The sequence below is a fragment of the Homo sapiens genome, chromosome 9 (genome assembly GCF_000001405.40).
Source record: "Homo sapiens chromosome 9, GRCh38.p14 Primary Assembly".
NCBI lineage: Eukaryota > Metazoa > Chordata > Mammalia > Primates > Hominidae > Homo > Homo sapiens.
The window spans coordinates 78,005,896-78,029,011 of NC_000009.12; the positions used below are offsets into that span (position 1 = coordinate 78,005,896).

The 23,116-nt window shown below is 37.2% G+C and overlaps 1 protein-coding gene across 2 annotated transcripts in view, besides 1 other annotated feature; it reads right to left on the minus strand.

Moving 5' to 3' along the window:
- The window catches only part of GNAQ (G protein subunit alpha q), a 315,715-nt gene that overhangs the window by 289,799 nt on the left and 2,800 nt on the right, over positions 1-23,116 (minus strand). The gene's annotated exons all lie outside the window — the stretch shown is intronic.
- Positions 6,436-6,588: a silencer, noted in NCBI's record as "fragment chr9:80627247-80627399 (GRCh37/hg19 assembly coordinates)". NCBI's record gives its function as "represses an EF-1alpha promoter that drives an FKBP-Casp9 reporter gene in an ReSE screen in phorbol 12-myristate 13-acetate-treated (for megakaryocytic differentiation) K562 erythroleukemia cells {active_cell/tissue: K562(+PMA)}" and the evidence as "EXISTENCE:reporter gene assay evidence [ECO:0000049][PMID:32094911]".

Sequence of the window (23,116 nt, forward strand, 5' to 3'; positions counted from 1 at the left end):
GGAAAAGGGTATGGGATGAAGTCTGGAAGAAACTAGACACAAGCTTCCATGGGTCCTCTCCAAGTGGGGTCACATTTAATGCTGCCAACAACCAGTTGTGACAATAAACATGAAATGTCTTAAGTTATTGCACGCAGGCTTACTATGTTAACTCTTTCCTGTACGGGGTCACAAATGGATTCCTGGAACGTGAGTTCTAATAATGCTATTGATTTAAATGCCCTAGCTAATTCCCAGAGGTAAACTGTCATAAATAGGAATTTGAGGGACTTAGTGCAGGTTGGGTATGTGAAATATACATGCAATTTGTTCTAATCTGTCAGTTAATTTCAGAGAATAACACAACATAAAACAAATCCATTATGTGTGTGATAAGAAATATAATTACCTATTTCTATCTGGCTGCAATTATGTCAATAAAAAAGAAGTATACTGCCCCCTGCCCCATAAGATCTCAATTCAGTAGGACTGTCTTCAACTGAGACATAGGATCAACCAAAAACACTGTCTTGTACACACATACCAAAAAATCTTAGAGAAAAATACTCTATCAGGCAATAAGAAGTAAACCTACTGTTGCTTTCCCCACTGTTCTCAGCATATCCCTAATTGGTACTACCAAAAAAAATAAATTATCTGCAATCCCAGGACTAAAACCTTTCCAAGCATCATTCAAACTAGGATAGTGTTTGTTCTTTCATTTCCTTCATTTGATCATGCTTTCAGAAACAATGCTTATCTTAAGGTCTCCTGAAATACGCCTTTTGGAAATTTACTGCAAAGTTATGATGGAAATTGAGTTGTTTTCATATGTGTGTTTAGAACTGTCTAAATGTAACAAAGTCGAGTTTGAGACTTCTAACTCACAAATAGAAGATTTTGCAATGTAATGCACAATTTTCTTAACCTCAGAGATATGGCCTTGGCTTGATGGGGTAAAAGATCACATGAGGTTACTGGATGCATTTCTTGGCCTGTCAGGAGTTCATTTCAGTTCTTTGCTAGTGAGGTTTAGCATTGTGTGTGATGTTAGTCCTCATGAAAATGAGAGATGAGCCAAGTACTCTTTGCAACCTGGAATTGTTCAGCTTCACCAGAGTACTTAGCCAATGCAAGTTCTTCCCACTGTGCAATCTAGGGCTATTCTGATGACTGGTTCTACATTCAGAAGTCAGACTGCACTTGTACCTAAAAAGTAGTAGTACAGAAACTAAGTCTTTATGGTTTCAAGATAGGTGACATTTGCCTCTAACGTATTCATTACACAAGGACTAAAAGGCAAGGAACAACCATTAGAGAAAAGGCATGCAAATAAAAGAATTGATACTAATATTTGTCCCTTATCTTTCATTTTCAGCTGGGAAAGTACAAGTAAAGAGCAATCTAAAAGCTTTTTTTTTTTTTGCAAAGGACACTTAAAAACCTTGACTAAAATATTTAGTTTTTAATAAGTGATATAATTTCATAACCACAGATTCTAACGCTGATAAACTTATTCACTGCATTCCCTTGCTCAAGCAAGCCACCCACTAGAAAACAAGGAAGAAAAAAAAAAAATCGAACAGCCTCTGCACCATCTGATTTACCACGGGTTCTAAAAATTTATATGCAAGAACATACAAAGAAGGCTGAAAAAAGTACTCACATAGCCATGGCCATGCATTATTAATTTCAATTTCAACAGATATGAATTATGCTTCATTTGCTCAAAGTAAATGTCAGTACAACCACATTTTTTCTCAAAGGGAATCTTGATCATTGAAATTACACAAGCAGTATACTTACAACAAAGGCAGCTCTCTTAGACTAGCACTTTGACAAATCAGGGATACTTCTCCATCCAATCCCTATCTTGTGAGATCCCACACATCTGGGAACAGGGCTGTAATTTATCCACATGCAGTCAGCACATTTTAAAAACTCAGGTTGGCTTCCAAGACTGAACTCTCCAGAAAAGAATATAAATCTTGTTAACCTTAACTAGATTTAAGATGGTGTATCCCCACTGTAAACCTAGGTACAGAACAATTTTTAAACACTGGTGTGAAGGCCAAAATTTTTTTTGGAATAATTCTCATGAGCAAGAGAGAAGAAATCAAAAATGACTTCAGGCATTTCAACGAGCTATAATCATCGAGGCTAGAAAAGAAGATATTCTGGTAAATTACCAAATTAAAGAAGAAATAAATTTAGTGACAACACTGCTTACAAGCAACACTCACAATAAGGTGAGACTCAAGGACACTTAGGTGTGTTGTTTGAGCCGCTGAAAGACCCATGTACCTCTACACAGGTGGGGGAAAGATGGCCCCTGTAAAGGGGACATGCTCAAACCTTCAGTTACCTTTTCTGTTAAAAGTTCCACAAAAAGGCAATATCCTGACCACTGTCCAGGAATCATCATACATCTGCTGTGAAGAAGGGCCTTTCATCTGTGCTGGCCAGCCACATGGGCTCAGGCCAGACTCAATTAAGAAATGGGGGCAAGGGAGTGGGATAAAAGGAGGGAGGGCAAGATCCCTTCTCAATTTCTTGCTGAATATCCAGAATTATTTACTATCAACTCCTCCCCTGCTACCACCCCCACCATCCAACTGGAAAAACTGAGTTTATTTTACATTAAATAATCATACATATACACTGAATAATGCAACTTTCACTTAACTATCGATTTATTTCATTTCATTTCATTTCATTTCATTTCATTTCATTTCATTTCATTTCATTTTATTTTATTTTTTGAGACGGAGTCTCGCTCTGTTGCCCAGGCTGGAGTACAGTAGCATGATCTCAGCTCACCACAACCTCCGCCTCCTGGGTTCAAGCGATTCTCCCACCTCAGCCTTTCAAGTAGCTGGGACTACAGGCACATGCCACAACAGCCACCTAATTTTTTGTATTTCAGTAGAGACAGGGTTTCACCGTGTTAACCAGGATGGTCTAGATTTCCTGACCTCGTGATCCGCCCACCTCGGCCTCCCAAAGTGTTGGGATTACAGGCGTGAGCCACTGAGCCCAGCCAACTATCGAATTTCTTAAAGAAGAAATTTAAACATTGACACTAGCTAATGTTATTGCTAAAAATGTGGGCATACTGTCAAATAAAGTATACAGATTTCTAAGTTGGCTTTCTCTCTTTAAGAACCACCTGCCTTAGGAGGAGGGTAAAGGGAGATTAAATCTATTTGGCTGTAAAGTAAATAGGTACCAAATGAAGTTTGCTTTTCCTAAATATCCTTTTACTTCTACATGGAAATTAATATTCACAGAAAAGAAGGAAAAAGAAAATACTCCTTCTCTCCTTAACAATAATGGCTATTATCAACTGGTTGGCAACCTAAACTTCAGGTTATCGGGAGAGATTAAAACAGTTCACCAACAATGTGCACTGCCAGGGGTGCCACCCGCCACCTGCCACCACCACCACCACCACCACAGCTGTGACATGTGAGAAGCCCACTCCAGAAGGCCAATCTGATTTCCTCCTACGACAGGAGAGTGTGCCATAGTCAAGGAAGAGCAGACGTCCCTCTCTCTTGATTTCTCTATTCCCTTTTATACCAACACAAGTGGTGAAGTCAAATGTGGGTAGCCTATTATTGGCTTCATGCCCATTAAGTAAGTAAACAACAAAGTAATAAAGACTTGGAATCAACTGGAGATACAGAATGACAGACTATGGCAATCTGTCTTGAAATCTAAAAACTTCCCTATCTTTACTGACAGTATTAACAAAAATAGTTGTTTTTCCCTGATCTAACTACAAATCTTATTGTAACAGGTTCCTCTACTTTCCTTTAGAGAATGAACAGGGTAGAATTACAAATGCTAGAAATTGGGAATAAAGTTTAAATGAATCTGATCTTGGAAGGATGTTCCCAGAATTAGGATGAAATTCAATAGCAGTAAAAACTCTCAGAATTGAAAAAAAATCCAAGCAAATACATGATAAAGGGAAAAGGAAAAATGCAGAAGACTATGTACACATCACAGATGACCACAGATCAAAAACAGGACTAGCAGTGCAATGCTGTATCAAGAAAAATGAAACAAACATGAACTGGTACTGGTAGAGAAAGTTATTGAGTGCCCTTTGCACTAAAATTGCTGTAATTGTTGGGATAATTTATTTAGACAAAAAGACAAAGATTTCTAGAGTCACACGAATGTCAGGGAGGAAAGACAGAATTATCTACTCTGACTTCATCAAGGCACACATCAAGTGCTGGGTTTCATTACAGGTAATTTTTAAAAGATGAGAACAATCAGGATATTAAGGAACAAGATTTCATTCCTGCTTTATGAGAAATGATGGCAAGAACTCACGATGGTTCATAAAAGGAAGAAAGCCATCCCCAAGGGTGTCATGAGGCCAACTTCAATTACTGGGAGAAACAAATGTGTTCCAGTGGGTTCCAGTCTCTCCGTGTTCCCCAGGAATAGAATCTGAAGCTAGTTACAGGACAGATTTCAGCTCAATGAAAGATTTCTAATAAACAGATGACTGAAGATGGAATTAATTGGGGGATAATGTTCTCATCACTGAATTTAGAGGGGAACAGACTTAACGACAAATTGGGGATGTCACAGACGCCACTCAAGTATGGGGTGCATGCTTGGACTTTAAAGCACATTCTTAACTGAGATTCTATAATTATAACTCTCTATGAAAGACTTCACATGTGTTAATTACAGTCATCAAGACTCATAAAGCACACTTCCTGGAAAGACGGCAGCCCTCTAAAAACAGCAACTTCCTTTCTATCCCTCAAGATGAACAAGAAGAAAAAAAATGTAGAAAGAAAAACCTTATCTACATTAATAATAGCAACGGACCTATCAACCAGAAGTAATACAAATGGACCAAACAGAAGCGGCTGAGTCTACACACAGCTCTTCTGCTTGTAAAAACAGTACAATGTTGAGGGAAATAAGTGACAAAGGTTCTCAAAGACTCCCTTATGTCCCCCAACTTCAAGGAACATGTAATGTCTAATTAGAACTCACATTCCTACCTATTCTAGCCATGAAGGGGCTAAAGAGGAACAACATAGCCAACAGATCTGTTTTCCCCTCTGACTTGACATATTTACTGGAAAAGTTGAGGGCTAAAAGCAAGACTACTTTGCAAAGTGGTCTAGAAACGCAGAGAAAAAGACCCTATAGATGCACAGCAAGAAAATCCCAAAAACAGCAAGGCTCCATTCTGAATGACTTCTCATCAAAGTGGCTGGCTCACTCAAAAGAGAAGGACAAACAGAATCAGTTGTGAGATGAAGCAAAGTTCATAGTAGCCACTGCCAGAGAGCACTCCCTACCACTCTACTCAGACAACTGAACAGCTAAAAATAGAATATATACCATCATCTTCCAGTCCTCCAGCTCAAGTGCTAAGGGAAAGATACAAACAGACCCAAGACAAATAGGGAAGGAAGTCAATGAGATTCCACCCACCCTATTTTTGGACAAATACAAGGGCCAGACAAAATTTGGAACATTCCTAAGCACAAATGAAGACAAGGCAAAGGACATGCAAAAGAAAAATGAAGAGAATGCTTTGAAAGGTTTACTCTAGAAAACAGAAGAAAAAAATGGACTATAATTGCTTTGCACTATATCAAGAAAATGTAACAAAATGTGCATTGTTGAAATAGGACATTCTAAAAAATAAGGTGAAACAAAAATTGTCAGAACTAAGAAAGGAAATAAGGAGAAAAAACAATAATACTGCAGAACTTAAAAATGAATCTGAAGCATCAAAGAGATAGCAGGTACTTCATTCATTTAACACCTACTTACTGGCACTTGACATTGATATTCAAAACAGTGCCAAATCAGCATTGCAGACAAGAGATTTGGGCAAACCACACAAATAATGGAGAGATACAGCAATTAGAGGGAAGCTAACAGCTTTGGCAGAGAAACAACAAAAATTCAATTATGAATGATTGGTGTACCTAAAGAAGAAAAACAATTCCTGTGGAATATTAAAAAAAATTCAATGATAAAATAGGCAAGATCCTTGAAATGAAAGAATATTATAGAGATGGAGTGGGTTCAGTGCTTCAAGATAAATAACAAAAATTATAAAACACTGAAGCATAACCTGGATACGTTGTTAAGCTTTCATGTTATAGAAACAAATAACCAAATTTTTAAAAAAGCAAATCACAAAGAAAAAATATTCAGGCTGGCCACAGACTTATCAAATCTATCTGCTGGGAAACAATGGAGAAAAATCTACTACGTGGCAAGCAAGGTAGGTAAAAAAGAGGTCTAATCCAAGAATTCTATACCCATGCAAGTTGTTATTAATATGTGCATGCCACAGAAAGGCATTTTCTTTTTTTTTTTTTTTTTGAGACGGAGTCTCACCTTGTCACCCAGGCTGGAGTGCAATGGCACAATCTCAGCTCACTGCAACCTCCACCTCCCAGGTTCAAGTGACTCTCCTGCCTTAGCCTTGCAAGTAGCTGGGATTACAGGTGCGCGCCATACAGATAGAGTTTCACCATGTTGGCCAGGTTGGTCTCGAACTCCTGACCTTGTAATCCACCCGCCTTGGCCTCCCAAAGTGCTGGGATTACAGGTGTAAACCACCTCACCTGGCCTCGGAAAGGCATTTTCAAATACCCAAGAATTCAGGAAATATATCACCCATGGACCCATCATTTAAAAACCTATCTGAAGGTATAATCTAGCCAACTCATAGATAAAAATAAATAAAAGCATATAATTAAATTGAGAGAAGAAATATTTGGTGATAAGCATTTAAACACAGAACTAATGCTAAATATGCATCTTAATTGCAGACACAAATATATATATACATATATGTACACAATTTCTCAAGGAAAACAGAATAAGTGATAAATGACAATATACTTAAATGAGGTTCCTTAGGTTTAATTATAATGATTCCCTGTGATCATCCCTGATATTCAATATGAAATCAAAGGGCTAAGAGTTTTAGAAAGTGTGAAAATAAATAAACTCTAGGTATGAAATTTGAGAAACTACTACAGAATCACTTTCAAAACATTAAAGATCACATTGGCTGCAAGATCAAATATTAACTTGATGCTAGCAGAGATGGACAAAAGACAGTGAAGAAAGGGGGCGTAAGTGGAAAGAAGAGTAAACTACTTCAGGATTAAGAGGGCAGAAATAGGTGAATTGCTAGGAATCCGTAATCAGGAGGAAGAACAGAATAAAGGAAATGTAAGTTAGAGCAATGAACGTGGCAGTGATCTGAACACCATAAACACCTCTCCTTCCATCTGACACAAATACCCATATTATATTGAAATTAAGGTAATTTCAATTTTATGCTTAGCCTTTTAATAACCATCAATAAATCCTAGACTTCAGAAAGATGCCCTTAGCCATTGACAATTTTATGTTTTTCTTACAAGACTTTTTTTTTTTTTATTATACTTTAAGTTTTAGGGTACATGTGCACAACATGCAGGTTAGTTCCATATGTATACATGTACCGTGTTGGTGTGCTGCACCCATTAACTCGTTATTTAACATTAGGTATATCTCCTAATGCTATCCCTCCCCGCTCCCCCCACCCCACAACAGGCCCCGGTTTGTGATGTTCCCCTTCCTGCGTCCATGTGTTCTCATTTCTAACAAGACTTTTATCATTTTATATATCCAATGTTGCCTCTGAGAAGACTATTAAGAAAATAAATATATAAAATAAAATGTGTTGATGTTATTACTAACCACGAAGACTTAGAGAACCATTCTAAGTCTGGTATTGCTAATTTGTCTATAACAGACAGGAACAAAAAAGTTAATACACGCAAATAAAATACCACAAAAAGCAGAAAATGGAGTAATCAGAGGTTGGCAAATACCTGCCAGAATGCCAAATCCTGCTTCTGTTTGTTTTTGTAAATAAAATTGTATTTGAACATAGCCATACTCATTTATTAACAAACTGTTTGTGGCAGAGTTGAGTAGTTCTAATAGAAGCCATATAGCCCAAAAGCCAAAAATGTTTACTATCTAACCCTTAAAGTTTGCTGATGATCCTTGGTATAGGTGAAAAAAATTTCCCTCCCATGCAGGGGAGGGACATATAATACCATTTGATCTCTGAAGATGATAAACTGAGAAACATAAATTGAATATGACTACTAAAAGTTATATAGGCTACCAACAGTAAAATTAAAAGCAGAGTACATACCTTTCAAATTATCAGTGTGGAAAGCACAACAAACCCAATACAAATTCCAAAGGAGTGAGAAAGAGAAAAGGAAATAATGGAGGAGGAATAGGGGTAGCTGCAAGAAATCAAGAAAGAATCAGAAAACAGAAATCAGACGCCAATACACCCTAACATTATTCATCATACATCAAGTGTAACAAGAACAAACTCAACTATTTTAAGAAAAGATTCACTCAGGCTGAGGTTTAAAAAAACAAAAACTTTAGGCCAGGCGTGGTGGCTCACTCCTGTAATCCCAACATTTTGGCAGGCCTAGACGGGCAGATCACGAGACCAGCCCGACCAACATGGTGAAACCCCCCTACTAAAAATACAAAAATTAGCTGGGTGTGGTGGTGCATGCCTATAATCCCAGCTACTTAGGAGGCTGAGGCAGGAGAATTGCTTGAACCCGGGAAGCAGAGGTTGCTGTGAGCCGAGATAGCGCCACTGCACTCCAGCCTGGGTGACAGAGCCAAACTCCGTCTCAAAACAAAACAAAACAAACTTGTGAGGGTAGCTAAAACAAAGAATAGTTGAAAATAAATGAGAGACATACATCAAGTAAATGTAAACAACAGAACAATATTAATAACGATGCTGAGTTCAAGATATAATAGCATTAACTTACATAAAAGGTAATGCGGTAATGACAAAATTTTAATTCTCATCGACGTTTTTTAGGTACCTCATAAAAGAGTACAGTCCTACACCACATTAACAATGTTTCAGTCAACAACAGACCACGTAAATAACTGTGGTCCCACAAGATTATAATGGAGCTGAAAAATTCCTATCGCCTACTGACATCGTAGTTATCATAATGCAACACATTAGTCACATGTTTGTGGTAATACTTGTGTAACAAACCTACCAAGCTGCCAGTTGTACAAAAGTGTACAGTCATGTCCTAGACCCTCACATTCACTCACCACTCACTGACACCCAGAGCAATTTCCAGCCTGCAAGCTCCATTTATGGTAAGTGCGCTCTATGTGTATCATATTTTATCTTTTATTACTGAACCTTTTCTATGTTAAGATATGTTTGGATACACAAATACTTACCACTGTGCTACAAAAGCCCGCAGCGTTCAGTACAATAACATGCTTTACAGGTTTGCAGCCTGGGAACAATAGGCTTTACCACATAGCCTATATGTGTGTTGTAGGCTATACAATCTAGATTTGTGTAAGTACACTCTACAAGGCTCACACAATAACAACATCATCTGGCCACAAATTTCTCAGAAGGTATCCCCATTGTTAAGCAACACATAACTGTACTTACATAGAGCAAAATTTCTGGAATAGGAGAAATTGCCACAAACACCAGAGTCATGGAAGACTTCTGCAAAATTCTCAGTACTTGGCAGATTCACACACAATATAAGGAAGCAGATTAGCAGCAAATATCAGTCATAAAATTAAATAATACACATATATTTATGGTTTTAAGACAAACACACATATGCATTTTATGTACCCATAAAACAAAAATTGACTATATATATTAGACTACAATAAATTCCAAAAAGTAGAAACAGTACAGACCACATTCTATCAAAATGACCTCAGAATAAATAACTAAGGTTGAAAAAAAACTACAACCACTTGAAAAATTTAAACTATATTAAACAATCTTGGTTCAAAAACAAAAATAAAAATTGTAATTTTAGAATATCTGTAAAAGGATAAGAATGCTACATAGGGACATGTAATAAAATGCAAAGCCTTAAACACTACTAATTCAAATTGAGAAAATATTTTTTAAAATAATCTAAGAATTCTGATTCAAGAAAAAGTAAAAAATAAACTTAGAAAAATTCCAAGAAAAAAGTAATAAAGATAAGAAAAATTAACAAGAATGTCAAGACAACTCAATGAGAAAAGAATACGTTTTTTTCAACAAATGGTGCTGGGACAACTGGATATTCACACGCAAAGGATTATGTTGAAACCCCACATCACACCACATACAAAAATCAACTCAAAGTGTAAGACCTAAAACTACAAAACTCTTAGTAGAAAAGAGACGTAAATTTTTGTGACCTTGGATTTTTCCAATGGTTTCTTCCATATGAGACCAAAAAGCAGAAGCAATTCTTATAGATAAACTGGACTTCATCACCATTTAAAACTGTTGCGCTTCAGAACAATTCTGCATATAGCCAAACCTATCATTTAATCTTATCAGTTCTGTTCTTTTCCCCCTTGGAGACATTTGTCCTAGGGCACTCCATCTTTCCATAAAGAAAACCATCAAAGTTTTAGAAATATATAAATTAGGCCAGGCACAGTGGCCCACACCTGTAATCCCAGCACTTTGGGAGGCCAAGGTGGGCGGATCACGAGGCCAGGAGATCGAGACCATCCTGGCTAACACAGTGAAGCCCTGTCTCTACTAAAAATACAAAAAATTAGCCAGGCGTCCCAGCTACTGTAGTCCCAGCTACTCGGGAGGGCTGAGGCAGGAGAACTGATTGAACCCGGGAGGCGGAGGTTGCAGTGAGCCAAGATCACGCCACTGCACTCCGGCCTGGGCGACAGAGCAAGACTCTGTCTCAAAAAAAAAAAAAGAAATACAGAAATAAAGTGAAAGCTAAAAGTGATAGAAAATCTAATTCAAATGATAAGTTCAGGCATCTGTTAATTATTTTTGTAGGCATGTTTTGTAATTTTGTTAGTATATTTTGTAAGCAGTTTAGAAAATAAAAACTGTAAAATGAATACTGATTCAATAAAATGCAAATAAACACAACAAAGACATGTCTTTTTTTTAACCCATTAAATAGACATAATCCAAGGACAGCTAAAACTGTTATGTGTTGTGTTACGTTACGTTATGTTATGTTATGTTATGTTATGGACCAAAACGGCTGATAATCAAACTCTAAAAAATGTGCATGAAAAGAATCATACAGCGTGCAAAAATACCCAACAATGTTCACTGTAGCACTGATTATAACATTTTCTTAATAGAATCAAAGTAAATATTCATTAAAAGGTATCAGGTATAAATGGTACTGTGCTGATATTTAACAATTAGTTCTTCCAGAGATGGGAGTAAGACCTAATCTGTATCTGCCAATTTCTGTGGTGTAAACCCTAGCAACATGTCTGATTTCAAGCTACCAAAGTTCGGTCACTAAATGTAAAGTTGAGACAAAAAAATGATCAAAACTGGCTTTCGTGAGCAGGTACAAACTAGCTGCATCACAGCACTGTATGATTCAAAATGCACGGAGGAAACACTAAACAGCCATAAATATGTTCCAAAAGATTTATATTAACATGGCAAGACATCCTACATATTACTGAATGAAAAAAATCCAATTACACATAGAACAGCTTATGCTGTGTCATCTGTGACACTGAAACTTGTATGTACATTTCACCTTCATTTTGAAAGAAAAAGAACCATACATCAGAGATGTATAACACACTACATTCAATCTAGTTTTGTCCATAACAATGGCAGTAAATCTAGCTTTCATGGAATATCTAAAGCAGATCATGATTTTTATTTTAAAACAGAATAGCAAAAGATCAACAGTTTTGGCTTGATAGTAATTAAAAACTTCTGTATCAAATAATACAAAACAAAAGGAAAACAACAGACTGGGGTTAAGTTTTTGGCAATAAAAATGACAAAAGGCTAATTTCATTTGTAGGTTTGGAGTTCAAAAATAGGCAAAGGAAATGAAGAAACAATTCACAAAAGAAGCAATTCAACTAGAAACAAACATGGGGAAATGATCATTCTCACTAATGATCAATGCAAAGTTTAGAATTATGTACCATTTTTGCCTCCTAACTTACTGATATTCTAATAATATTGTTCATGATGCTGGAAACTGTATACAATCGTTTCAGAATATGTTTTGGGTGTGTATAACCAAGGTTGTAAAATTTTTCATATCCTCAGACCTAGAAATAACATTTCCATGAATCTATTCTAACAAAATTATGTGTGTGCATGTTTTAAAAAGCTATCTCCACCAAGAACTTCATCACAGCATTATTTTTAAAATGAAATCATTGGGAGAAACCTAAATGTACAAAAAAAAAAGAGTAAACAAGTAAACAATATACATCCTCTCAAAAGAATCTTATACAGTCTTTTCAAATGTTAATATGAAGTCTACATAGCCACATAAAAAATGCTTACAACCTAATGTTAAGTTGTACAGTATGATCACATCTATGTAAAAAACATAAAAATAAAACAGACTATAAAGGAATGTGCAAAAAGAGCATGGTTCTTAGTTTAGACTGGTATATTTTTGATAAATTTATGAATATTTTAAAAAGTTTTATTAAATTTTGTGCAAAAAACTTGCATTATTTGTAAAATTTCAAAATCACTGAAAAACAGGCTATAAAAAATAATGTAATTAAATAACAGAATGTGGGTTGTCATTCTTTCAAAGACTAGCATGAAAACAACATAATGTATTTCTTAAGAATGTCAGAACATTAAGTGGAAGAAAATAAACATTTCTTCTCGACTCAAACTTGGACTGTCTATTAAGCACAATAGCTTTTCTCCTTACCAAACTTTTTTTTTTACTATTTTACAAACAACCAAACCACCAAATGACAGTATCTCAAGTGCTCTTATTTCATTCCAAAAAGAGAATAAAAGACAAGGTAAATTCAGGCCACAGCATACTGCTTAAGGATACATTATAGTATAAAACATAAAGAATATTTTTAATAGAAATCATTGTGTCAACCCACAAGTAAGGACTAGGCATGCACAACACATTAATTCTGAGATGGATACACTGTAATTTGAGTAGCAATTCATAGGTAGACTCCAGGGGTTTAGAAACATCCTCCCACCCGCTGCAGAAGAATCTGTTCTCATAACAAGCATGGCCTAGAGTAGAAAGCCCTACAAAAAATACGTTTCTCAAAGGACAGAGCTAGTGATTTTCATGAAAATATACTTTGAATCAGGATTTCCCTAAAGAAATATTGATGAAGTCCTGTAATTTCCTCCATTAAAATGCCACTCTTTACCAAGATGTATTGGATAAGGAAACACAAACTGTTTCTCTGAAAATGATAAAGCAATATACAGGTATTTTCTCCCATATAAGATGAGAAAATGCATGGGACTCATTACTACAAGAAGTGGTATGTGCCCAAAATTTGTAATCGTTTCTAACGTGATCTGGATAACATCTTAGATGGTAACCCATGGCAAAACAGGAGAAGGTAGAATGTTCAGAGGACACCCATTCGTTAGCTCTGAAAGACAGCAAGAACCTTCCACCTCCAGACTCCATGTCAGAGCCAAACTTGACTCCAATAGGAGATAGTGCTTGCCAATTCATTAATTCTTGGACCATTAGAATGTAATTGATAAATAAAAATATAAAGGTTCATTTCAAGTACCTTTTGTTTCTGCACTACTGAGTTTTTCTCTCAAATTATTAAAAATTATTCAAATTAACCAAAACATATGCAGCTTCATTTTGAATGTCGGTCATAATTAGAGACTTTAGGAACCTTTAGGCCAGGTGCGGTGGCTCAAGCCTATAATCCCAACACTTTGGGAGGCCAAGATGGGTGGATCACCTGAGGTCAGGAGTTTGAGAGGAGCCTGACCAACATGGTGAAACCCCGTCTCTACTGAAAACACAAAAAATTAGCCAGGCATGGTGGCAGGCGCCTGTAATCCCAGCTACTTGGGAGGCTGAGGAAGGAGAATCACTTGAACCTGGGAGGCAGAGGGTGCAGTGAGCTGAGATTGCGCCACTGCACTCCAGCCTGGGTGACAGAGTGAGACTCCATCTCAAAAAAAAAAAAAAAAAAAGAAAGAAAAGAGACTTTAGGAACCTTTAAAAATCCTAGGGAAAAAGTCTGCTCTTAGGCTTGGATGTAATGGCCCAGAACATGAAAAAGACACAAGAGAATACATCCAATTGATAGGTGCCTTTTCTCAGCTAAAAGGTGTTATTTCTACATTACATGCCTCCACTTTGCATGAATCTACCTGGCAAGAATATCTCATGCTATTGCTTATTTATTTATTGCCGTGGGAAACTGAGAGCCATTTTACTATAGGAGATGCAAGCCAAGCAAAAGCAGATTTCCTGAGCAAGGATGTCTCAAGAGACATCTCATAACACATCACAGGATTAGCAGAGTTCTCAAAACAGTAATAGATGCATTTCTATCACCTGAAACAGCTGACAGAAAAAAAAACATGGAGGAAACATGTTGCAAATTTTCTTTATACTCTGTCAAGGGTTTTTCTCGGGACACAGCTTCATGAGAGTTCTATGCTCACCTATTTAACCACCTCTGGGAACAAAAGGACAGGAATGAGTACATGCAACACAAACTACTCCCATTCCACCAAGGCGTCTACACTTACTTGCTCATCTCCCAACCCACCATCTGGGTGAGGAAGGGCACAGTGGATGTGACAATGAGGATGAAAACACGTGGTAGGATGGTGGAGGCGGCCAGAAGAGGCAGCATTGGTCTGGCTCTTCCTGATTGAGAACATCAATCCAAGGCATCAGGCACCTCTCCTTTGCTCTTCTCTCCTTCTCTCCAGAGCCCAGCAAAGACACAATGGCGCTACCCCTATTGGCAACAACACCCTCTGCCCTTCCAAGCCCCACGGGACTCCCTATTACTCTACTTTACCCTATGTCTGTTCTTTTCCCTGGCACTCATTCAACTGCAAATGTGAGGTCAAGGTAAGGAAGCCCAACGCTGATAAGTTGATGAGGAGAAGGCCCTGGGCCAGGAGTAAAGTGGGCCTAGGAATGCCAACTGCCTGCCTGGCACCTCCAGTGGAATTAAGCTTTTCTTACATTTCTCCAGAACTAGCATGAGAGTCCAGCTGCTCTTTCTTTGGCCACAGAGTCTTTGTCCAGAATGCAAACGAGGAACACAGGAAGCTGCTTTTTTTTTTTTTTTTTTTTTTGAGACAAGGTCTCACTCTGTTACCTAAGCTGGAGTGCAGTGGCACGATCACAACTCACTGCAGCCCTGACCACCCAGGCTCCTAAGTAACTGGGACCACAGGCATGGGCACCCACGCCCAGCTAATTTTTGTATTTTTGGTAGAGACCAGGTCTCACCATGTTGCCCAGGCTGGTCTCGAACTCTTGGGCTCAAGCAATCTGCCTGCCTTGGCTTCCCAAAGTGCTGGGATTACACGCGTGAACCACCACACCTGGCAAAGCTGATTTCTTAAGGTTTCTCTGATCATGGTCATACCAACTGAGAATGGCTCAGAGGCCACAGCATTAGATATATTTTAAGGCAAAAAATTATAAAAATCTTTTACTTCTTTGTATGCATGCTATAGATGTTTCTACCATTATCTGTTTTTCTGCTTTTAATGAAAGCCCCAAGAAAATAAAGGCACAGTGATGGAAAAAGAAATGAACACACAAAATCCATCCAATGTTTAATTCTAAATCTTTCCTGGAAAGCCCTAGAAAAGAGACCTGCTAGCTCCAAATATAAAGCAGCCCCCTAGATGTGCCCTGCTGGGCATTCCCAGTGCTCAGGCTCATTGGCCAGCCAGCTGTCACTGAAAATGGCAGAGATGGGCTTGGGCAACAAGATTATTTGCAGGCAAAGGGAAAGCAATGTTGTGTTTGGCTTCAGTCACACATACACTAAAGAGAAGCAACGCTTAAAGCCCAATGAAGAAAAAACAAACAAAAAGAAGTAGTAAGTCAAAGGAAGCTGCTTGAGGATACGGAAGAAAAGACCCAGTCCTGAGCCGAGCAGCGCTGGAACACTGCGTCTCTCGGGCTCCACCTCTGTGCCTCCCAGGATATCGCCCTTCCTGCAGGAAGCAAGAGACCCATGCTGATATGACAGGAGGTTTCTGATACCATTTCTTGTGAAGACATTGCAAACTATCAGCAGCATGCCAGGCGGCACCAGGGGAGCTCTGGACAGACTTGCTAAGGCTTCATTCACAGGCCCCCCTCAAAGTGCTCCCCACTGCAGGGCACTCAGAGTTATTACAGAGGTCAAAGAGAAGAGCCAGGCCAACCCGAAGGAGCCCACCAGACCTGGCAATGCCTCCTAGTAGAGCCCATCACTGCTGGAGACAGCAGCAAGCTTAGACCCTTCATCCAGGGGTGAGTTTGGGCAGAAAGTGGCCGAGACGCCAAAGCTGCAAAGGGGAAGGAGAAAAAAATTCAAAGTTCAAATGGTCCTTAGAGATCATCTGCTGCAATCTCCTCATTCTACAGGTTTTTATAGAAAAAGCAAATGATCAAAATACCCTGAGGTTAGTTATGTGGGAAAAAAAGATTCAGTAAGCAGGGCAGGAATACTTCACCCCACTTTCAGTCACAGATTTTAGAAAAGATATATGTAACGAATCCAAAATGCACAGCCATAAAAGGTGCTTATTTAGCCAAAAATAAAAAATAAAAAACTTTCACAAAATTAGTCTGCCATTGTTTTTAAATTATTACATGTCTTACCAATGCTCAAAAATATATCACAAGAGTTACAGAGACAAGAGAGTTAAACCTGGCAATCTTTTAAAGGCAAACTGAACAAAAATTAAAGTCATCTTGTATTATTAGAACAAGTCACAGGAAATGGGTCATCTCTCTAGGACAAGAGGAAAATTGCATTTGCCATCTGCAGAAAGAACGCATACTATAATGAAGGAGCTCTGCAAAGCGCAGGTCCTAAATATCAATTCACATGGCAAGAAAATACCAAAACAAACCCACCACAAAAATGTACTCAGGCTGATTGGGTATAACAAAAGTAAAGGCCACTGCTATTGCCATCACCCTTAACTATCTGTATGGAAATACAATCAGAAAAAGATGTTAAGGCTTGCAAGTCACTGAGAAGAGGGTTTTCAAATCATTAAGTGAGGAAGATGCCTACACATGCCTACAGCACCTTCTCCCCTTCCAGCATACGCACTGCATCCGATTCTGAAACCCACTGGTCCGTGATAGATTATCCAGCACTGGCTCACTAACTCTCTGCTGGTAATCATGAACCAATCTCAAGTCCCTGCCCTCTGGAAAAGGAAGGAGGATTTTACATTGTGTTCAGTAACAATTTATTTTTGCTTTACGGACCAGAGTAAGTATTGCAAAAGAAAGTTAATCATTGCCTAAACACACACTCACAAATTCCTTCCTTTGAATGTATTAAAGCACCCAACTTCCCCTCTCACCAGCTCACAGCCACATGATGTCTCACAGAAGCACCAACTTGGAAGTTCTCTAAATCGTATGCAAATGTGCAAGTCAGAGAATCTGAGGAACCTCTTTAGCATCTGTTTAAGAAAGATGTGATGAGGAATTAAATGGGTGGGTGGTATTCACATGAAAGGGATGGGTAGGGGGGCTACAGAAATCACTGGTAGACTGAAAAGGGACTGGGTAAATCACAGAAGCATTCCTCTTTAGAAGCAACTAGATGCCTGCAGTTACCAGTAAATACATGGTGGTAGAAGATCTCACCAATCACCCTGTTGCCCCTACAGTAAAAGAAAATGTAGGAAAGAAACAATAAAAATGAAAAAAATTTTTCAACATAAAAAAGAAACAAAAAAATTCTATTTCTATTTTTTAGCAAGTGATGCTGATTAAAAAAAAAATTCTTGGAAAGCACAATTAATTCATGATTTTAGTTTTCCAAAGGGAAAAAAAATGAGGCTATCTCCTAGAAATATATGTAACTATGTGTCTAAACATCACTGTTCGCTTCCGGTAACAGAGCCAAAAAGTCTGGCTAGATCTCTTTTTCTTTAATTTGTGGGTCAATTATGTGTGTATAAACACACACATATTGTATATGTGTGTATATACACACACACACACTATAATGGCATTAGTAACATTTTCGTTCCCAACTGCACCACAATCCATTACTTGAAAACAACTATTTTATTTCTAAAGCAGACATATTGTTCACAATCCATGATTAATCCTGTAATAAAGGTGCACAGATTGTCAGATTTCAAAGAACTTGTGTGTGTAACAGCTTTCCATTGGAACAGCTGGATCAATTGCTATTGGCTTTTAACTGGAAACAATATGAGAATGTTCAACCGAAACATTGTCCCAAGAGAACAAATGAGAGGAAGGCAAGAAGGCAAAAACTGTTCCATCTTTAAAACGGAATTCCTTTCACTGTGCGCCCGGTGGCCCACAAAACAGCAAAGAGGAGTGGAAAATGGAGGACATATGGATGATGCCTATTAGAAGAAAGCAGGGAATTTAAATTCACTTCTTCCGATTACCCTCCATTCTTTTTGGAATCCAGCTTTCCACACACATCCCTAGTTACTGATAATAGAATCATCAGGAATTGCGATAAAGATACAAGAGCAAGGATCTTTGCCTTCACGGAGCTTCCAATCCACTTAGAAACACAAGGTAAAATCATCCGCATTCCCCAGTCCTGTGATCCCCAGGAAGCTCCTACAATGGCCTTCAGATTATTTTGTCTCTTTCTGTGTATGAAAACCCAATAGAAAAGCCAAAGCCAGGAAGGATAAAGTCAGAAGGGCATGTCAGTACGAGGACATCAGCTACAATACAAGAACTATGCAAAGTGCTTAGTCTTTCCTGTCGGCAAATAAGACATAAGGAGCATCTCACACAGCACATTATTTGGCACATAGTAGGTGCTCATATTTGTTCATTTGACTAGCATTCTGCATGAAACTGTTCCTTCTTAAGTTATGCCTGGTTAAAAAAAAAAATTAGAGGAAATATTTTTTAATAACTGACAAGTATATGTTGAAAAAATGGATTTGAGATATCTTCATAATTTGATTTTTAAGTAATACTAATTTTGTTCTTTAAAATTAACCATAAAGGCTTTTAACAAAATATTCTGCACTGATTATGGCTATGTATAAAGGTTAACAACAGAGCTGTATAGTTAATCCAATTTGGGATTCTCGGCACTGCAACATGGACATTTATTTTTGTTTTTAAAGCCCAAATTCATGACCACCTAGGATGTGTTAACTCATTTCATCAGTATGCCTAGGTCCTTTTACTACATGTTAGATGAGAAATCAGACAGATTTTTACATATCGGTAATGTAACAAATCAAAGGTGATTGTTGAACAACTTCCTATAATTTTATTTTTTACATATCGGTAATGTAACAAATCAAAGGTGATTGTTGAACAACTTCCTATAATTTTATCAGTAACAGCTATTCACACAAAATAGTGTTTGGGTCTGAGAGCAGCTCTTTCTTTAATGTTACTCCATTCGGCAGAACAAGAGTAAACGTTCACGGTTTACTGTAGTCAGTTATTGCCACAGATTTAATTACCAACAATCGCACATTTTACCTTCTATTGCTATTTCACACTTCACTAGGATTAAGTCTGCAGAGATCTTAACATAACTTAAAAGGCATTACAAAAGTTTTCCTTTGAAAAATGTGACTGCCTCCCGTTCCAACCAGGAAATTTGACTTTAAAATTTGTTGCTTCACAAACTTGTATTTTCCTCAACCCAATACAGAGGAAACAGATTCCCTCCACCTTCTGAGGGAGAAAGCAATCCTAACCTCCTTATAAAATGGCTTCTGTCTCTTCCAAGATGTACCCTTTGAGCTCCCTATTTTCCCTCTACAACATCCAATCAACATTTCTACTAATATTAACAGAATATTAGTAGAATAACTCCCCTTAAAGAAAAATTAATATGAATGCTGGAATCAAAACCTTCCTTAGAGAATCTTGTTAATTTCTTTTCAAGTGTAAGTGTGCCTGGATCATAAAGAAAAATCTGTTCCTTTTTTCTGCTAAGTTTAGCATAGCACGCAGCCTCACAACTGCAAAGGCTGTTTCAGGTCCTAAAAAATTCATGGGTAATAAAAATCGTAACTGTTTTTAATAGGCACTTCTGAAAACTGAACATAAGCCATTTCTCCTAAAGTAGAGCTGAGATGGTTTTCTTTTTTAATGAAAAAGATTCTATCAAATTTATTTATATTAAAATGGCTACTAAATTAGTCTTCTGGTTCTCCTTTCTAAACTTACTTTAGAATATGTGAATAGATAAACCTGCAATATTTTCACTGTTCAGCAGGGTTTTAATTTGTGTCAGATTTGCCATATGAAGAAATAGCATATAGGGGTAAGGATGGGACATTATATGGAGATCCAGACGATGAATCTACGTAGTTCAATGCAAAAAACTTATTCCGAAGGCTTTGTTATACAGTCAGAGCCACAGTTTTGATTTTTATGAGGGATGTTCCCACTTTGTTCTTCTGATATAAACTATAAGTACTTTGTTTCAACAACAACAAAAAAGGGAACTGTATCCAAATAAATCCTGACATTCAGAAACATATTCAACACTTGGAAGCTAAAAGAGTAGCAAAAAATAAAACCTGTTGGTCCTTAAAGCAGTCTCATAAACACCATATTTTGCTATTTTTAGGGAGCTGCTGTTATTGAGGTTACTTAGACCAAGGCTTTCACTCAATGGTTCTGAGTCACCATCCTAGATGGCACTGACCTCTAGGTTAATTCAGGCAATCAACATACCCACTCCAGTGAACCCTACTGAGGAGCAGTGGGAAGCGTGCTCTTTTCCAGATGTGTAGAAATTAACTTCCCATACAGCTTAAATTGGCTACAGCACTTCCAGCCTTCCAAGCCCCTTCTTGGTCTAAAACTGTATAGCTTTCAGTACAAATGCATATCCTTCATATTAAAAATGTTCTAACTGCAATTCCTGAAATTCTGTATTTAATTATGGTGGTTTTCCTCACGTTATTGTATAAGTCAATCACAAACACCCATTTAGTCATCACCTGTGCTCTACAGAGTATTAAAAATTCACTGAGCCCTGTACCATGGAGAAAAATGTATGGTAAAAAGATGAGAGGGTTAAACTAGCCTCTACACAATAAAAAGTAATAAAAATATAGAATGGTTTTTCTTTTCTTTAAACTTTCATACTTTAAGCATGACTGTTACCATTCTCAAATACATCCAGTACAGAACTGTAATACACTGGTTCAATGTGTGATGCAACATCTTACATTAACACTTCCTATCCTGGAATGCATTTATAATCAGTTGGCTCAAAGAGTTACACACAATTTTTTTAAGATCCTGATTTTATCTGCCACAGATAAAAACATTATATATTCCTATGTTTCTATACATTTATTCATTATTGTCTGGTCTAATTTCCAGCAGGAGGGTAATAAATAAATTCATTTACTCAGCCAATATTTATTGAGAGCATTCTACGAGTTAGATACTGTGCTTGAAGCTGGGATTTAATAGTGAGCAAAACAGACACAACCTCTACTCTCATATGTTTGCAGTGTACAACAGGAAGAAAATCTGTGCTCATATATAAAATTCATTTCAGAAGACCAAGACCATTTAAGGTCTTCCATTTAAGACTGGCCTGTCGCGACCAGCCTGACTAACATGTTGAAACCCCAGCTCTACTAAATGCAAAAAAAATAGCCGGGCGTGGTGGTGCATGCCTGTAATCCAAGCTACCTGGGAGGCTGAGACAGGAGAATCGCTTGTACCTGGGAGGCGGAGGTTGCAGTGAAGTGAGGTCGCGCCATTGCACTCCAGCTTGGGCAACAAGAGCAAAACTCCATCTCAAAAAAAAAAAAAAAAAGACTGGCCTAAACTTTGCCTGTTTCAATAGCGATAATTCAATCAATTAAAGGGGTTTACTAAGTCTTCCTATTTGATAATTAAGATCTAAAGAGTAAAAGACTTCAAAAACGTGTAAAATAAGAACAGGTTAACAGGAAAAAAATGTTTCTTCTAGGAACTGAAAAAAATTTCAGGATAACTATATGTAACATGAAGCAGGCACTCAAGGCCACTTGTATTACACAGACTTACAAATTATATTAAATGAGGTTATCTATGTACCACCAACAGAAATATTTAGTGAATATTCATGAAAATTAATCAATTAAAGAAAATATGTGCTTTATACCTACAAAATATATAAAAACATTAACCAAGTTAAAATGAAGTATGCTCTTGTATATCTACATAGAATACAAAGAGTAAGTTTTGAGTGTCAAACACTAACATAAATGAATTCAAAGAATGAATAAGTTAAAAGACAACAAGAAAATAATTCAAAATTTAATGTAATATTCTTATAGTGGTAGATTTCAGGGTTCACGTTTCTAAAGTTAAAATAAAAATATATAATATATAAGCATACGGAATAAATTTGGAAGACTGGCATAGTTGCCGAATATAAATCAACATAGCCCAAATTTTACTGCCATACTTTCATCTAGTCAGGTACCCACTAATTGTCTTTTTAAATGTCTCCATATTATTAATACACAAAAGTAAATAATTACATGAGCAAATGCAAGGGTACCCACTTTTATCCCTGTCAAACAAATCCTCTTCCATTAAAATGGTATCAAGCCTTGAACTAAAATTTACTTTGAAAACAATTTTACATTGATTTTCATTTCAAAATACTTATTCCTCCATAAACTAGTTAAAAATATTAGTAGATCTTTAAACTGTGAATGGATACATCTTATAATCTCCTCTAGATAGGTTTGTTTAAATGATAGAAGGAACCAGAACATTCAGTGTACTCATCAAAGCAGCGAATCAGGAATTCCTCAAATGAAATCCCTCCCTAATATCTTCCTTGTTGAAATCAACCGTCCTGGATTCAAAAACTCCTGAAATCACACTCATACACATACACGCACGCACAAATCCACATTTAGCGTATATTACTACAGAAATAGTGTAAGTATTGTAGTATTCATGTTGCAAAAGCAATATACCAAGAACATGAAGCAGTAGCAATTCTTGCATGATGTTCCGCTAATAAGAGGAAAAAAAAGTTCTCCACACTACCACCACTTTAG